The sequence below is a fragment of the Homo sapiens genome, chromosome 4, assembly GCF_000001405.40.
Source record: "Homo sapiens chromosome 4, GRCh38.p14 Primary Assembly".
Lineage (NCBI taxonomy): Eukaryota > Metazoa > Chordata > Mammalia > Primates > Hominidae > Homo > Homo sapiens.
In genome coordinates, this window is record NC_000004.12 from 4,668,582 (window position 1) to 4,682,493 (window position 13,912).

General features: G+C 44.9%; 1 protein-coding gene and 1 long non-coding RNA gene across 9 annotated transcripts in view, besides 2 other annotated features; both read left to right on the top strand.

The window, feature by feature from the left end:
• The window catches only part of LOC124900165 (uncharacterized), a 230,445-nt gene that overhangs the window by 126,451 nt on the left and 90,082 nt on the right, over positions 1–13,912 (top strand). The window lies entirely within an intron of this gene.
• The window catches only part of STX18-AS1 (STX18 antisense RNA 1 (head to head)), a 168,808-nt gene that overhangs the window by 126,451 nt on the left and 28,445 nt on the right, over positions 1–13,912 (top strand). The gene's annotated exons all lie outside the window — the stretch shown is intronic.
• Positions 689–788: a silencer, noted in NCBI's record as "silent region_15216". NCBI's record gives its function as "represses an Ori minimal core promoter by ATAC-STARR-seq in GM12878 lymphoblastoid cells {active_cell/tissue: GM12878}" and the evidence as "EXISTENCE:reporter gene assay evidence [ECO:0000049][PMID:35858748]".
• Positions 2,198–2,791: an enhancer, noted in NCBI's record as "H3K27ac hESC enhancer chr4:4672506-4673099 (GRCh37/hg19 assembly coordinates)". NCBI's record gives its function as "activates a minimal SCP1, AML or CMV promoter by ChIP-STARR-seq in naive H9 embryonic stem cells {active_cell/tissue: H9 hESC(naive)}" and the evidence as "EXISTENCE:reporter gene assay evidence [ECO:0000049][PMID:30033119]".

Sequence of the window (13,912 nt, forward strand, 5' to 3'; positions counted from 1 at the left end):
CTGATGCTTGGGTTTCCCATCTATAAAGTGAAAATGGTAATGTCTACCCCACAGAGTTGCTGTGACTAGTTCTAATGTATGTAAATGGGCCAGTCACAGACAAGTCATAGATGAAGCTTTTGTTGTTTTTGATATTTTTAGTGTGAATTTTTATTATTGTCCTCAAGGTCAATATTTTTATCCTTAAAGTCACTAATTTGACTAAGGTTTTGCCCTAGTTGACATAAAACATATTTTGAGGATGTTAAGCCGTTGGGGGGAGATACGAATATGACTCATATGTCTTCAGCACTTTACAGTTTGCCTGACAATTTTGCCACAAGTTAAGTCATTTAATCCTCACAAAAGTCCAGCCTAGGAAGTACTATCAAGTTGAGGCTCAGAGAGGTGCCGGCGCTAACCCACGTTCACACGCGGCCCTTTTTCAACCTCGTTGCCTCAAAGGCGGGGAGCTGTGCTCATTGAGGACTTGGTCTGCTTCCCCAGGCCCACAGCTCGAGGACGTGAGACCTCACTGTCTTTTCTAGCTTAGAAAACAGCTCCTGCCGAAAATCGCAGAAAACCCTCCTTTCTGAGGTTCCAATGTGTTTTCTGAGGAGTGTGTTTATCCCGGATATGTGTTCCCTCTCCCAGAATTCTGGGGTCGGCTAGGCTTAGGAGCTTGGTATCCTCCGCCTCGTTCCCGAGGCCCTAGACACCCCTCAGTGAGGAAGCCATTGCGGGAGGGCTCAGCGTTTTCTGGACTTCACAGCTGTGGCATTCCCGTTCCTCGACGCCAGTGGGCGCTCTGCTCGTCCTTCTCCCTTCCTCCGAAGCAGCCTTGGCTCCGTCTTCAGGATGTTCTTCCCACCGCCTTTGGGATTTTGGAAGGCCGTTCTCCCTTCCCCACTATTTCTAGCTTCCTCTAAGTCTCTGAGCAGAAAGGCCTTTCCTGACCAGCTTATGGGCAACGGTGACCCCGCCCCTTACCTGTCACCCTCCCCCATTTTACTTTCCTTCATAGAACTCATGACCAGCCAGCTGACATGGTTCCTGTTGTATTTTTGTGGTCTGGCTCTGCCCAGTAGGATACAAGCTTCATGAGGGCTGCGACAATTGTACTTTTTCTCCACTGTTTTCCCGGTGCCCACAACAGCACCTGGCTCATTGCAGGCACTCAATGAACATTTGTTGATGAATGAATGAATGAGGCTGGATTTGGTCAGAGGTGTTGGAACCAGAGCAACTCCATCTTGAATAGAGGCTGGGTAAAATAAGGCTGAGACCTGCTGGGCCGCATTCCCAGGAGGTTAGGCATTTTTTTTTTTTTTTTTTTTTTTTTTGAGACAGAGTCTCGCTGGGTCACCCAGGCTGGAGTGCAGTGGCGCAGTCTCGGCTCACTGCAAGCTCCGCCTCCCAGGTTCACACCATTCTCCTGCCTCAGCCTCCCGAGTAGCTGGGATTACAGGCATGTGCCACCACGCCTGGCTAATTTTTTGTATTTTTAGTAGAGATGGGGTTTCATCATGTTAGGCAGGATGGTCTCGATCTCCTGACCTTGTGATCCGCCCGCCTCGGCCTCCCAAAGTGCTGGGATTACAGGCGTGAGCCACCACACCCCGGTGACGAGGTTAGGCATTCTAAGTCACGGGATGAGACAGGAAGTCAGCACAACAAACCGATCATAAAGACCTTGCTGATAAAACAGGTGGCAGTAAAGAAGCCAGCCAAATCCCTCCAAAACCAAGATGGTGATGAAAGTGACCTTTGGTCATCCTTATGGCTCATTATATGCTAGTTATAATGCATTAGCATGCTAAAAGACACTCCCCCCCCCAGCACCAGGACAGTTTACAAATGCCTTGGCAACGTCAGGAAGTTACCCTATATGGTCTAAAAAGGGAAGGAATCCTCAGCTCTGGGAACTGCCCACCCCCTGGAAAACTCATGAATAATCCATCCCTTGTTTAGCATATAATCAGGAAATGACCATAAAAGTGGACAGCCATCAGCCCTCAGGGCTGCTGTGCCTATGGAGTACCCATTCTTTATTCCTTTGCTTTCTTAATAAACTTGCTTTCACTTTATGGATTCAACTAAAATTCTTCTCGAGCAAGACCAAGAACCCTCTCTTGGCTTCTGGATCAGGACCTGTTTCCAGTAACAGACTGGCTGCATGAGTGTCACTCAGCATCTTCCCAGTTGGCTCTGGCTATGGGCATCTGGCACCCAGATCCTAGTGCTGGCTCCTTCCAGGCCCAGGCCTGAGCCCTGCCACAGAGGCAGCCCTGGAGAGGCAGAATTGCACCTCAGTGTGATCGGTTGTGTTCAAGAGGCAGGCGGCATAGAACAATGAAAAACCAAGAGCGTAACAGTCAGGCAGATCTGAGTTCAAATCCTGGTTCTTCCTCTGCTTAGCATTGTGGTCTTGGTCAACTTACTTTGGTGTCCTGAGCCTCAGGCTGCCATTGTTAAATAATGATTCCCACCTGGCACGGTGACTCATGCCTGTAATCCCAACACTTTGGGAGGCCAAGGCCGATGGATTGCTTGAGCCCAGGAGTTCAACAACAGCCTGAGCAACATGGGGAAACCCTGTCTCTACAAAAGAGGAAATGTGTTCTGTATCCTCCTGCTGGCTCCCAAACCTACCTCTAGCTTACAAAACCCAAGCACTTTGTGCTACCCTGGACATGGTTAAAGCTAATTCTTGAAGCAGAAGTTGGCGGAATGTAAAAAAGCCTTTGCTAAGGACTTGACCAAGGGAAAACTCCAAGCTTGGAGGCCTCCTAACTGCTGCATTCTCAGAGCAGTCTCCCACCCAGGGCGAGAGCTCCTGCCATTCAGGAGGGACCTTTCTCTCTGGTGAGCTTTGAGGATGGGCCTGTGACCTTTTCCCAGCACCTTGGCTCCAGAAAAAATGTGCAGAAGCCTTTTTTCCTAGAAGCCTTGTGATTACTCTGAAACCAGTGCTCATGGGAGTGGCTGCAGGAATAAATCTTGAAGATGTTTATCCTGAAAATTCCAGGTCTAATTTATGTCCTCCTCCAAACAGCATCTTGGCTTGCCAGCCATTAGGGTCATCATACACGGAACAACATCTCTGGGTCTCAGAGCATAAATACCTACTGTCAACTGGGCTGGGAGAGGGCAGGCTCTTTATGGATGGGGGATTGGGATTGAGGGGTCTGCTGGGCTTCCAGTTACCTTCCAGCCCCCTCCAGAGGAGGTGATACTGCTTTTATCAACTCCTTGTAAGATGAGATTTAAACCTAGTCAGTCCCTAGGATTCTATTGACAGCAATTTGTAGGGCTGGGTGGAACACCCACAAACAAACCCAATTAGAAGAAACTTCTGACATGTTAGATAAAGATGACAAAGGGCCCGTCTCAGGCAGCAAAGTTAGTCATCGTTGCTGCAAACATGTCTGGATTCCTGGGAAGTTCTTTAGGGTTTAGTTACTTGGGGCAAAGAGAAAACTTAGCAGCTGAGTTTATTTTACAGAGACACCCAGGGAAGGGAGTGGAAGGAGCAGACAGACCTGGATATAAACCCTGGCTCCCTGAGTACGGGTGTGGGCCAGTGTGCAGGGCACAGAGCCTTTCTGTGTCAATGTGTGCTCAGCCTTGCACAAGCATGCATGTGTGTGTGTGTATGTGGGTGTCTGTGTGTCTTACGTGGACAGGGAGTGCCTGATACACAGTAGGTCCTCATGCTGGCAAACCCCTTTTTGCTGGTACACTTTTCTTTCTAGAACCCTCATTTTTCTGCCCTTCAAGTGAACGATGTGATTGATTGAGTCACAGATTGACGCATTCATTCGTTTACTGTTCAGTACATTCAGTACAAGTTTACTGTGTGCTTGCCTTGTGGTGGACACTGAATTCAGCAATGGGCAACATTCCAAGTATTAGGGTCTTTCTCCATTATTCAAGTGCTGTTGACTCCAGTGAGGACACTGTGGGCAGGCGTGGAGATGTGATGTACCCTGAGCAGACAGACACTTGAGTTTCCATTCCCAGCACCAGGGTGGTGCCAAGTACACAGTGACGTGCCACTCCCTTTGGACACGTTTATTACATTTACTGTCCTTTGTTCCCCCTGGAATGCAAGCTCCACGAAGGCGGGGATCTTCGTCTGTTTTGTTCACTGATATCCCCAGAGCCTAGTGCCCTGCTGATATAGTAGGCACTTGATAATGTATTTGTCGGATGAACGGGTAATATAGTCACTCACAGGCAGCTTTCAGGATGAGAATGTTTGTCTGATCCTCTCATTTATAAAAATCCTCACAACAACTACTCTCCACCCTGTCCCCAGTGTTGAAAGAATCTATAGAGTAGAAATAATCAGCCCATTGGCTATTTCAATAATATATTTAGTTCTGAAAAGCTCTTAATTGACTCTGACTCCTCTCTGAGTCCTTTCCTTAGACCTCCCTTAAAACTCTAGCCTGGTTTGTTCACTGTAGGACGAAGGAGTTTGGGAGACTCTGGCTCTGAAGGCTGCCTAGGAGCTTGGCAAAAGCGTCTGTCCGGAGTCCTGCAATAACCACGCCCCTCACCCCTTTACGACCACACCCACTTATTCCCGACCACGCCCACGCATCCCTCCTTTAGTCCCAGCCCCTGTCCCCTTCAGGACCACGCCTACCCCCTCCCTGACCACTCCCATCCCTATAGGACTAGCCTCTCCTCCCCTCAGGACCACGCCCCTCTCCCATTCCAGGCCACGCCCACCCCATTCAGGACCTCGCCCACCTCCTCCTCGGACCACGCCCGTTCTCCTCACGCCCACGCCCAGCTCATCTTCCATTCAGGTCTTCTACTGCGAGTGGACTTTTGGAAGCCTCTTTGATGGTTGCAGCATTAGTAGTATTTCTCTGCACACATTATCCTGACGCCGATTCAGACCACGTTCCCTTACCCCCTGACTTTGCTCAAAGAGACAGATCTCCATACTTCTTCCCTCCATTTGCTATCTTAACTCCACCCACCATCATCACACGCATATTGTAGGAAATTTAGAACATAAAGGTGTAAAAAGCTGAAAAACTTCTATCCATTTATTCTACTACTCTGAGGACTGGAGATAATCTTTTGGCCCGTTTCTAATAGTCTATTTCTTTTTCTTTATGAGTTTATTAGTAGGTTATGCAGACAATTTTGTGTTCTGTTTTTATCATTTAAAACGATCTCACATATTACCCATTTCTTTAAAATAGTTTGTAAATCTCTCTCTCTCTCTCTCTTTTTTCTTTTGAGACGGAGTTTTGCTCTTGTTGCCCAGGCTGGAGTGCAATGGCGCGATCTCGGCTCACCGCAACCTCCGCCTCACGGGTTCAAGCGATTCTCCTGCCTCAGCCTACGGAGTAGCTGGAATTACAGGCGCCCGCCACCACGCCCGGCTAATTTTTTGTACTTTTAGTAGAGACGGGGTTTCTCCGTGTTGATCAGGCTTGTCTGGAACTCCCGACCTCAGGTGGATCCACCCGCCTTGGCCTCTCAAAGTGCTGGGATTACAGGCGATAGCCTCCGCGTCCGGCCAAATCTCATTTTTAAATGGCTGCTTAATAATTCATGGTGTGAATGAGGCATCATTTCTTAGTCCCTAATTTTTTGGACATTTATATTAATTCCAGTTAACAATTAGGTGACACATGTAATTGTGCACACTTCTTTGTCTGCATTTTGACATATTTCCTAAGGATTGATTGCTCTAAGTAGCTTTACAAGGGGTCAGAGAGCACTGATGTTTTTCTTTTTCTTTTTCTTTTTTTTTTCTATTGTGGTAAAATATATATAACATAAAAGTGACCTTTTAATTGTTTTTAAATATTGTTCAGTGGCACTGAGTACATTCATATTATTATACCACAATCAACCCCATCCATCTGCAGAATTTTTCCATCTTGCAAAACTGAAACTCTGTCTCCATTAAATATGAACCCTACCCCTGCTCCTCCAGGCCCTGGCAGTCATCATTCTGCTTCTGTCTCTATGATTTTGACTACTCTAGGAACTTCAGACAAGTACAGTATTTGTCTTTTTGTAACTGATTATTTCATTTGGCATAATGTCCTCGAGCTCTACCCATGTTGTGGCATGTATCAGTATTCCCTTCCTTTTTGAGGCTGAATAATATTCCATTGCATGTGTATGTATTACTTTTTTTTTAATTTTTTTTTTGAGACCGAGTCTCTGTCGCCCAGGCTGGAGTGCAGTGGCGCGATCTCATATGTATTATGTTTTATTTATCCATTCATCTGTCGTGGACATTTGGGCTGTTCCCACCTTTTGGCTATCGTGAATAATGCAGTTATGAACATGTGGGTGCACCAGCCTTTTAAAGATTCTTAATAAGCTTTATCATCTGGAAAAGTTGTACCAATTTCCATATCCACTAGCAGTGGCTGCATGAGTGCCTATTTTACTATATTCAGCACTTGACAGCAATTTTCAAAATGGAAGACCTGTGAATATTGAGGGGGACATGCTGTAATGAAATTACATGTAATAATAGGAAAAGGCTTATTCTCTTTACCCACTCACCTACCCTTCTTCCTTCCAAACACCTACCCATCCACCTATCTGTCCACCTGCTCACTTACCCACCCTTTCTTCCACCCACCTATCCATCTACCTATCCATTACCCACCCACTTGCTCACCCATCTACCCACCCACTCACCTGTACAGGTATCCACCCACCTGTCTACTGGTCTTACATATTTAATCCGCCTGCCCATCCATCAGTCCATCCATCCATCCATCCATCCATCATCTATCCACCCATCCATCCACCTATCCAGCCATCCATCCACCCACCTATCCATCTACCCATCCATCCATTCACCCATCCGGTTATCCACCCATCATCCATCTATCCACCCATCCATTCATCCACCCATCCACCCATCTTTTCTGTCTTTTCCAGCTCCATCTTCTTGAAGCTACTCTCTTATTTGTTTACAACACAACAGAATAAGAAGATGAGAATATCTAAGAATCGTTCTCTCTCTGTCCTTTATTCCTGCAGGGGCATCTGAAAGGTCACACTTTATTACCTTTCTAAGTCATTCCCCTGCTCCCTGCCTTGGGCCCCCAGTCTCTTTGAAATTCCTCTATTGAATCTTTGAATCTTTTAAATAAAGATCAAATTTCTCTGCCTCCTCCCACCTCCTAGTTTGCACCATGTTATACTTTCAATTGTTACTGTGGAGTTACAGTTTCACCAAGGAGCCTCCCCTGCTTTTGTTCTTTCCTAAGCAGGTGGGTTGGTGAGGTGGCTGCCTGTGATTCTAGTGGCTTTTATGGGGGCCTTTGGCAGAGGAGGAGTTTCTGAGCTCTGAAATATCTCCTTTTGTAGATAGCATCTTGGGCCTGGAGCTAAGAGAATTAAGAGGTATTTACAATGATTTACAGCAAATGTTATACTATGTTACAGTCTCACTTTGTCCTGAAATTTGTAAGGCAAGATCTGGTGTGCGTGTGTGTGTTTTAATGTAAGCATAATGATAGGCATATTATATGGGGGTATTTCTATAAAAAGTAGAAAACAACTATAATATTTATCTCTCTATTAATTCCCTGGAAATCACTCTAGGATGGATTTAAGAAGAGAGGTTATCTCAAATAAATGGAATAAATAATAAGCAAAAAAGCATTTTAGAATGAGGCCGAATTGGCATCCAAAATAAAGTGAGGGATAAGAAGAAGATCCTAAAGTTGGCTTAACAAATGCTTTGATCTTTTACAAATGGGTTTCTCAGCTAAAAAGAAAATAGAGAGAAAGGTGTACTGTCATAGAGTTCACATTTTACAAAGCAGGTCATTTCAGACTCTGCTGGAGGGTGTGCTGCTCCCCCAGCTGGAGTCTGCACTGACTTCAGACAGGAGTTCTAACGGAGGGCACGTGGCTCATGCACACTGCGTGTTTCTCCATCATCTTTTATAGCGGCAACCCCACTTCCCCAGTTGTTTACTTTGAGGGCAATTTCCGTATCAGTCCAATAGGTACTTGAGAGAGAGAAGCCCTTTTATAAAATTTAGCTTAGGATTAAGCCAAAAATACCACCATGTGGGGGAAGATTCCTGTTCCAAACACTACCTGTGTGTGTATCCATGCACAAGGCTCTCGGCTTCCAACTGCCACGGGGAGTTCACGGCAAATACCGTCCATTCCCAAGAAGCCAGCATTGATCACTGTCGAGCACTGAGGAGACTGGAAACAGGGCGCAGTTGTTATTTTAGAAGCAAACTACTCCCTTTCCTACTGCCTTTCCTAAGGACTCTCTTGTAGTTGGGCTTTCCTGGGGCTATTTCAGTTCTTTTGGGCCCTCTGACCAAAAAAAAGTTCATTTAAATTTTCTTTTTTCAAATTTTCAAATGACATTTGGAGAAAAGAGGAGGGGAGCTGAGGTAGGACAGTGTTTGCCTCAAAGTAAACCACTGAGAGAGTGGGGGTGCCACTATAAAAGATGATGGAGAAATACACCCAAGTGTGCACTAATGAGAATCCACATCTTCCCCCAAATCCATATAGAAGAGTTGGCTTCAGGAGGACATTTCCAGAACTTTCCAGAAAGGTCTTCACTTACCCCTTCAGAGAATCTTCGCAACCATTTCTTCTCCAGGGGAGCAAACTTATTTCCCACAGCTTCCCATGAGTACCAGTGTCACAGCCATCCTCATGTAAGTGGCACTCTGCATGGCGGCCTCATGCAGAAGAAAGGCTACTCTTTGAATAACTCGTGTATTGTCATAGTTTTTACATCCTTCCCCCTCCTCCTTACCTTCTCAATTTCACTCTTCTATGTCCTATTCTTTAGTAATGTTTTTTAAAAAATTCCCTCTTTTCTTGTCTGTCTTTTCCTGTTCTTAAATATGTCGTGTTACTGGCAATTATGGATTTCTTTACGACTAGGGTCATATCTGTTGTGAGTCTTTCCCAGTGCCTTGCCTTCCTCCCCACCAAAAAAAAAAAAAAAAAAAAAAAAAGGCTCTGACTTGATAAGAAATTCTTTGACATTTTGAGCTGGGAAACTTCATTCAGCGGGATATTGCCGGCAGGAGGTCTGCCGCCCAGCTTAGGGTGCAAGCAGGGCTGGGGTGTGGGCGTTTTCCTGGGAGCTCCTGATTTACATCGACCTCAAGTATGAAGCCAGTAAAAGTGCCAGCGATGCTGTGTCTTTGAGGTTAAAAAATCTCTTGTGTTGATATGGCTAATTCTGGGCCACAAGTAGCAAAGTCCGCAGAAATGTATTTTCAGACTCAGGAAATCTCCAGGCTAAATTTAAATGCTCTACCTGAGTGCGCTTCTCAGTGAGGCTTTTGAAAACCGAGATGTGAAATGAATCGCAGATCACTTTAAAATGCGTTTATTCATCTTGGAAAAAGTCTCTCCGCTGAATTCTTTAGCTTCTCGGAGCCAAAATGTCTGTGCTGCATTAACACTCCCTGCCCCCACCTTTAGCTCCAGCAGCTTTCCAAGTGTGTCTTCTCTTTTCCTTAAAAACAAAACATTCTTCCCTTTTTCCCATTATGCAATTCAAGCTGGCAGTTAGCAAAGGCTGTAATTACCGAAAATATCTGTATAGCTTCATTACCGTGGACAAGTTATTGTCAGTACCGTGTATCAGTTTACAGCCATCTTTTCTCACTTTTCCCACACCGCTAACAATCCAGCAGTTAATACACATCTTTTAGCCATCCGATGTTGTTTGAGATAGTTGTGGTTGACAACAAAGAAGAAGTATTAGGAAACATACTTTGCAAAACATGTATTCCCCTTTGCAAGATGTAAAGGATGCGTTTGAGCAGCGGTGACCGCAGTGGGCTTGTAGTTCTCAGGTTCTACACAAGAGGGCACTTTGGTATCCCCTTGCACAAGACCCTGAGAATGACAGGGTGCTGTGTGGTAGTAACTTTCGTAAAAGTATTTCATATCCACGGCCTGCTTACTTTTGGCAAAATTACTTCCAGCCACAATTAAGAAAAGGGAAAGTTATATTTCTACAGAGTCCTTGTTTTACTTGTGTGCTCAACTTGCTTAGATGACTTAGTTTCCTAATGACAGCGCCTTCTAAGGAAGTGATGTGGATTATCCAACTAAGGTCGTGTCACTTTTGCGATCAGAGTCCACTGTGGGCAAAACCAGGGAATGTTCAAACGTTGTCCTTCAAAAGTCATCTCATCTCAAACTGTTACGCAGGTGATAAAGGTTCTAAATGAGCACTATCCGCTTCCTGTTTTTCATCCTTATCTCATTAATTAAACCCATGATCCATACCAGCACCTGCACCCCAGATATAGCTTCTCAGGTAGAGCTAAGCCAGATTTTGAGAAAAAATGTATGGCTGAATTATTAATAATTTCCACTGAGACATGAACTAATCCTTCCATTCCTACCTAAACTCTTTTCAGAGTTAAAAACAAACAAACAAAAAAACAAAACAGTTCAGGGCCAGGCACAGTGGCTCATGCCTGAAATCCCAGTGCTTTGGGAGGCTAAGGCAGGAGGATCGCTTGAAGCCAGGATTTCCATTCTGGACAACATATCGAGACCCTCTCTCTATAAAAAACTAAAAAATTAGCTCAATGTGGTGCTATGTGCCTGTAGCTACTCTGGAGGCTGAGGCTGGAGGATCACTTGAGCCCAAGAGTTTGAGGCTACAGTGAGCTATAATTGCACCTCTGCACTCCAGCCTGGAAAACAGAGTGATAGCCTATCTCTAAACACACACACACACACACACACACACACACACACACACACACACAAAATTAACAGTTCAAAAGAGGGTACCATGTTTAATCATTGTTAATAAAATTCAGACTAATGAAGTAAACACTGGTATAGCAATGTGGATAAAAGTTTTTATATTATATAGATGTGGGTTGAAGTTCAGATCTTCCCACAAGGTGACTTTGGAATAGTCACTTTTCAATAATGTACTCAACAAATTTTATTGAGTGCCTACTGTGTGCAAAGCACAAGGGATGCAAAGATGAGCTAAACCAGATGGGCCCTATTCCTAGGAGCCATAGTCTAGCGGAGAGGTAGATATTCATCAGAGTCACACAAATATGTGGACATTCAAAACTATCATGGCAGTTACCAGGGATGTCCCCTCATTTCCGTTTTTTTTTTTTTTTTTTTTTTTTTGGTGGTGGAGTCTCACTCTCTCACCCAGGCTGGAGTGCAGTGGCATGATCTTGGCTCACTGCAACCTCCGCCTCCCGGGTTCAAGTGATTCTCCTGCCTCAGCCTCCTGAGTAGCTGGAACTACAGGTGTGTCCCACCATGCCTGGCTAATTTTTTTTTTTTTTTTTTTGTATTTTTGGTAGAGACGGGTTTTTTCATTTTTTTTTTTTTTTTTTTGTATTTTTAGTTTAGTAGAGACAGGGTTTCACCATGTTGGCCAGGCTGTCTCAAACTTCTGACCTCAAGTGAGCCACCTGCCTCAGCCTCCCAAAGTGCTGAGATTACAGGCGTGAGCCACTGCACCCAGCTTGTCCCCTCATTTCTTGTTGGACACATGGTATGATTGTACTTACCCACCCCATTTGAGGTTAGGCATGTCCATGACTTGTTTGGCCCATGAAATGCAAGCATAAGGGCCATGTGTCTCAGTGATGGGTAGAAGCTTTACAAGCCAGTGCTCCGTTTGCCACATTCCCTTTCCACTGTGGCAGTGAGTGTGGAAGCGGGTGTTAAATTAAGCCTCTTCTAGGCTTGGGTCCCAGAGTGGCTCTGATGAATTACACTCCCACCCCCTGGCATCCCACAATGAACACATACCATGAGGAGAAATAAACCTTTGTTAAACCACTGAGATTCAGAGCTTGTTTGTTACTGCAGCAGAGCCTGGCCTATCCTGAGTGCTGCAGCTGCGAGACACGCAGGTACCTGGTGTTGTGAAAGGCTATCAGAGGGCGGATGGGCTGCTGGCAGGGTAGAAAAATATCTCTGAAGATGTGAAAACAAAGCTGAGGTCTCAAGAAGATAGGTAGGGGCCCCAAAGGAAGAGCATTCCAGAGTTTGGACTAGGGGTAGAAATGAAGGTGGAGAGATTTGTATGGATCAGCCTCGCTGAGCTCATTGGTACATGGGGCTCATAGATTTGTTGAGAAGATGAGCAATAACAAGGCAGGGTGCCCAGCCTGGGGCCTAGAATGAAGTAAGTGCTCAATGCATAGCAGTAACTAGCAATATGTGCCAGATACTGTGTTAAATGCTGCACATATAGGAACTCATTCAATTCCCACACAGTCCTATTCTTTAGGAACGATTATTATCCAGCTTATTTACTAACTGAAAGACAGGGAGGTTAAGTAACTTGGCCAAGGTCACTTAGTTACTGAGTGATGACACTTGGTTTTGGACTCCAAATCTATGCCACCTGACTTTCACTGTTGGTTTTGTCATTACTAGGATTTTAGTCATAAAGGCAAAAGGCCTATCTTCCTCTCTCAAGCTATAACAGGAGCAACTGATTACCAATTTAAAGCTGTGTGTGATGATGTACAACTACTTTTAAATCCCATTGATAGCCTGTATTAGTCAACTCTTGCCTGGTAATGCGGTGTAACAAACAACCACAATATTCGGAAGCATTCAACAATCAATATTTACTTCTTATGGGGGTAGAAGTCGTCTGGGGCAGTGCATTTGGGCTGGCCTCAGCTGGGCGGTTCTCCTTCAAGCTGGGAGTCTGGTGGCTGAGCTTGGCTGGGATGGCTTTGCTCTCTGTATACTCATTTTTCGTTATCTCTGAAGGAACATCAACTACTTGGGGACTCTCTTCTCAGGGTGATGGCAGAAATGCATAGAGAAGAAGTGCAAACCCATGATACATCTTCAGGCCTTGCCTGGAACTTGCAAGTGATTTGCTCAAGGAGGCAGAGCTAGGAACTACCAGGGCCAGATTCATACCCACGTCTGTTGGACTCCAACGCTGTAGAAAGCTCCACATCGTGCTGCCTTGCTTAGGTGGAGTATGATCCTTAGACGGCATCCAGGACAGAGGTGGTCACATTACATACATTTATATATTATTACATTAATAAATATATAATTTATACATATACTTATTACATACATACACTTATGAATGTCTATGTTTCCATAAAATTGCTGGATGTGAAAGTACCCAGGATTATCTGAGCAGGGGGCGGCCATGGGAGGTACTGTGGACGGAGCATGGCCTTTGGCATCTAAAGCTCTTTGCACTTAATGTTTCATCTGGGAGACTGTATGGCTGTTCCTGGCTGAGAAATTTGACTTTGACACCACGGCTGCAAAAAGTCCTGCAGACTTCAGCATCCTATGTTAATTTTTATCTAAGTGATGTGTTAGCTGATGGGGTTACTCTAACAGCAGAACAAAGTACAGTGCTTATTTCTTTAAAGTTTTACACTTTTCATTTCCGTTTCATTCTCTTTCTTTGTCTTTTGTTTTGTTTTTGTTTTTGTTTTTGTTTTTGTTTTTTTCTCTTTGTGGAGAACAGGATCTCGCTATGTTGCCCAGGGTGGTCTCAAACCCCTGGGCTCAAGCTATCCTTCTGCTTCTGCCTCCCTAAATGCTAGGATCATAGGTGTGAGCCCCTGTGTCCAGCCTTTCCTTCGATTTCTGTTGATTGTCTCTCTTAATAGTTTCATTGGCTAAGTTAACTCAAGAGTGATTTCACTCAGTTGGCTTACTCATAGAATGGGAATAGCATATCTACCCCACGGGCTTCTTGTGAAGATAAAATAAGACAATGTTTGCCCAGGGCAGGATGGGGATAGTAGTCTGCTGGGCCTCCCATGACAAAGTACTACAGACTTGGGGGCTTAAACCATAGAAGTGTATTTTCTTACAATTCTGGAAGCTAAAAGTCTGAGATCAAGGTGTCCACAGGGTTGGTTTCTAATGAAGCCTGTCTCCTTGA